Source organism: Homo sapiens, chromosome 10, assembly GCF_000001405.40.
Source record: "Homo sapiens chromosome 10, GRCh38.p14 Primary Assembly".
Lineage (NCBI taxonomy): Eukaryota > Metazoa > Chordata > Mammalia > Primates > Hominidae > Homo > Homo sapiens.
In genome coordinates this window covers 109223244-109224649 of record NC_000010.11, presented here as the reverse complement: position 1 = coordinate 109224649, position 1406 = coordinate 109223244, and the positions used below count along the sequence as shown (strand labels likewise).

General features: G+C 50.0%; 1 annotated feature.

The window, feature by feature from the left end:
- Positions 510-1206: an enhancer, noted in NCBI's record as "OCT4-NANOG-H3K27ac-H3K4me1 hESC enhancer chr10:110983202-110983898 (GRCh37/hg19 assembly coordinates)". NCBI's record gives its function as "activates a minimal SCP1, AML or CMV promoter by ChIP-STARR-seq in naive H9 embryonic stem cells {active_cell/tissue: H9 hESC(naive)}" and the evidence as "EXISTENCE:reporter gene assay evidence [ECO:0000049][PMID:30033119]".

Below are 1406 nucleotides of genomic sequence, written 5' to 3'. Positions count from 1 at the left end.
TTCTCTCAGCTCATCAAAGTCATTCTCCATCCAGCTTTTTTCTGTTGCTGGTGAGGAACCGCGTTACTTTGGAGGAGGAGAGGCGCTCTGCTTTTTAGAGTTTCCAGTTTTTCTGTTCTGTTTTTTCCCCACCTTTGTGGTTTTATTTACTTTTGGTCTTTGATGATGGTGATGTACAGATGGGTTTTTGGTGTGGATGTCCTTTCTGTTTGTTAGTTTTCCTTCTAACAGACAGGACCCTCAGCTGCAGGTCTGTTGGAGTACCCTGCCGTGTGAGGTGTCAGTGTGCCCCTGCTGGGGGGTGCCTCCCAGTTAGGCTGCTCAGGGGTCAGGGGTCAGGGACCCACTTGAGGAGGCAGTCTGCCCATTCTCAGATCTCCAGCTGCGTGCTGGGAGAACCACTGCTCTCTTCAAAGCTGTCAGACAGGGACATTTAAGTCTGCAGAGGTTACTGCTGTCTTTTTGTTTGTCTGTGCCCTGCCCCCAGAGGTGAAGCCTACAGAGGCAGGCAGGCCTCCTAGAGCTGTGGTGGGCTCCACCCAGTTCCAGCTTCCTGGCTGCTTTGTTTACCTAAGCAAGCCTGGGCAATGGCGGGCGTCCCTCCCCCAGCCTCGCTGCCACCTTGCAGTTTGATCTCAGACTGCTGTGCTAGCAATCAGCGAGACTCCGTGGGCGTAGGACCCTCCGAGCCAGGTGCGGGATATAATCTCGTGGTGCGCCGTTTTTTAAGCCTGTCGGAAAAGGGCAGTATTCGGGTGGGAGTGACCTGATTTTCCAGGTGCCGTCAGTCACCCCTTTCTTTGACTCAGAAAGGGAACTCCCTGACCCTTTGCACTTCCCAAGTGAGGCAATGCCTTGCCCTGCTTACGCTCGTGCACAGTGCGCACACCCACTGACCCTCTGGCACTCCCTAGTGAGATGAACCCGGTACCTCAGATGGAAATGGAGAAATCTCCCGTCTTCTGCGTCGCTCACGCTGGGAGCTGTAGACAGGAGCTGTTCCTATTCGGCCATCTTGGCTCCTCCCCTATTTTTAATGCATAGCTACAAAATTGAGCATCTTGAGAAAGTGCATAGAGAGCAAAATGGCTTCTGTAGTGTGATTTACTATGTAGACTCACCACAGGTCAGTCACTGAGTGCCTCTGGCATTCCATACAGGAAAGGATCTGTAGGACATTTCTGTTACCTGGTGCCTTCTAGGAAATAACGAGCTCCTGTTAAGGATGTTCAGATTGCCAAGATGTAAAACAAAATAATCTTTTTCCCTGATGTGTTTTCAAACAAAAATACCCCTGTAAAGAAGTGATGTGATGTTAATATTTCAGTGAGGGTAGTACTTTGACCTCATTGCTTTGATTGGGCTTTGAAAATAATTTGATAGTTATTCCTTGTCTGGGACATGTC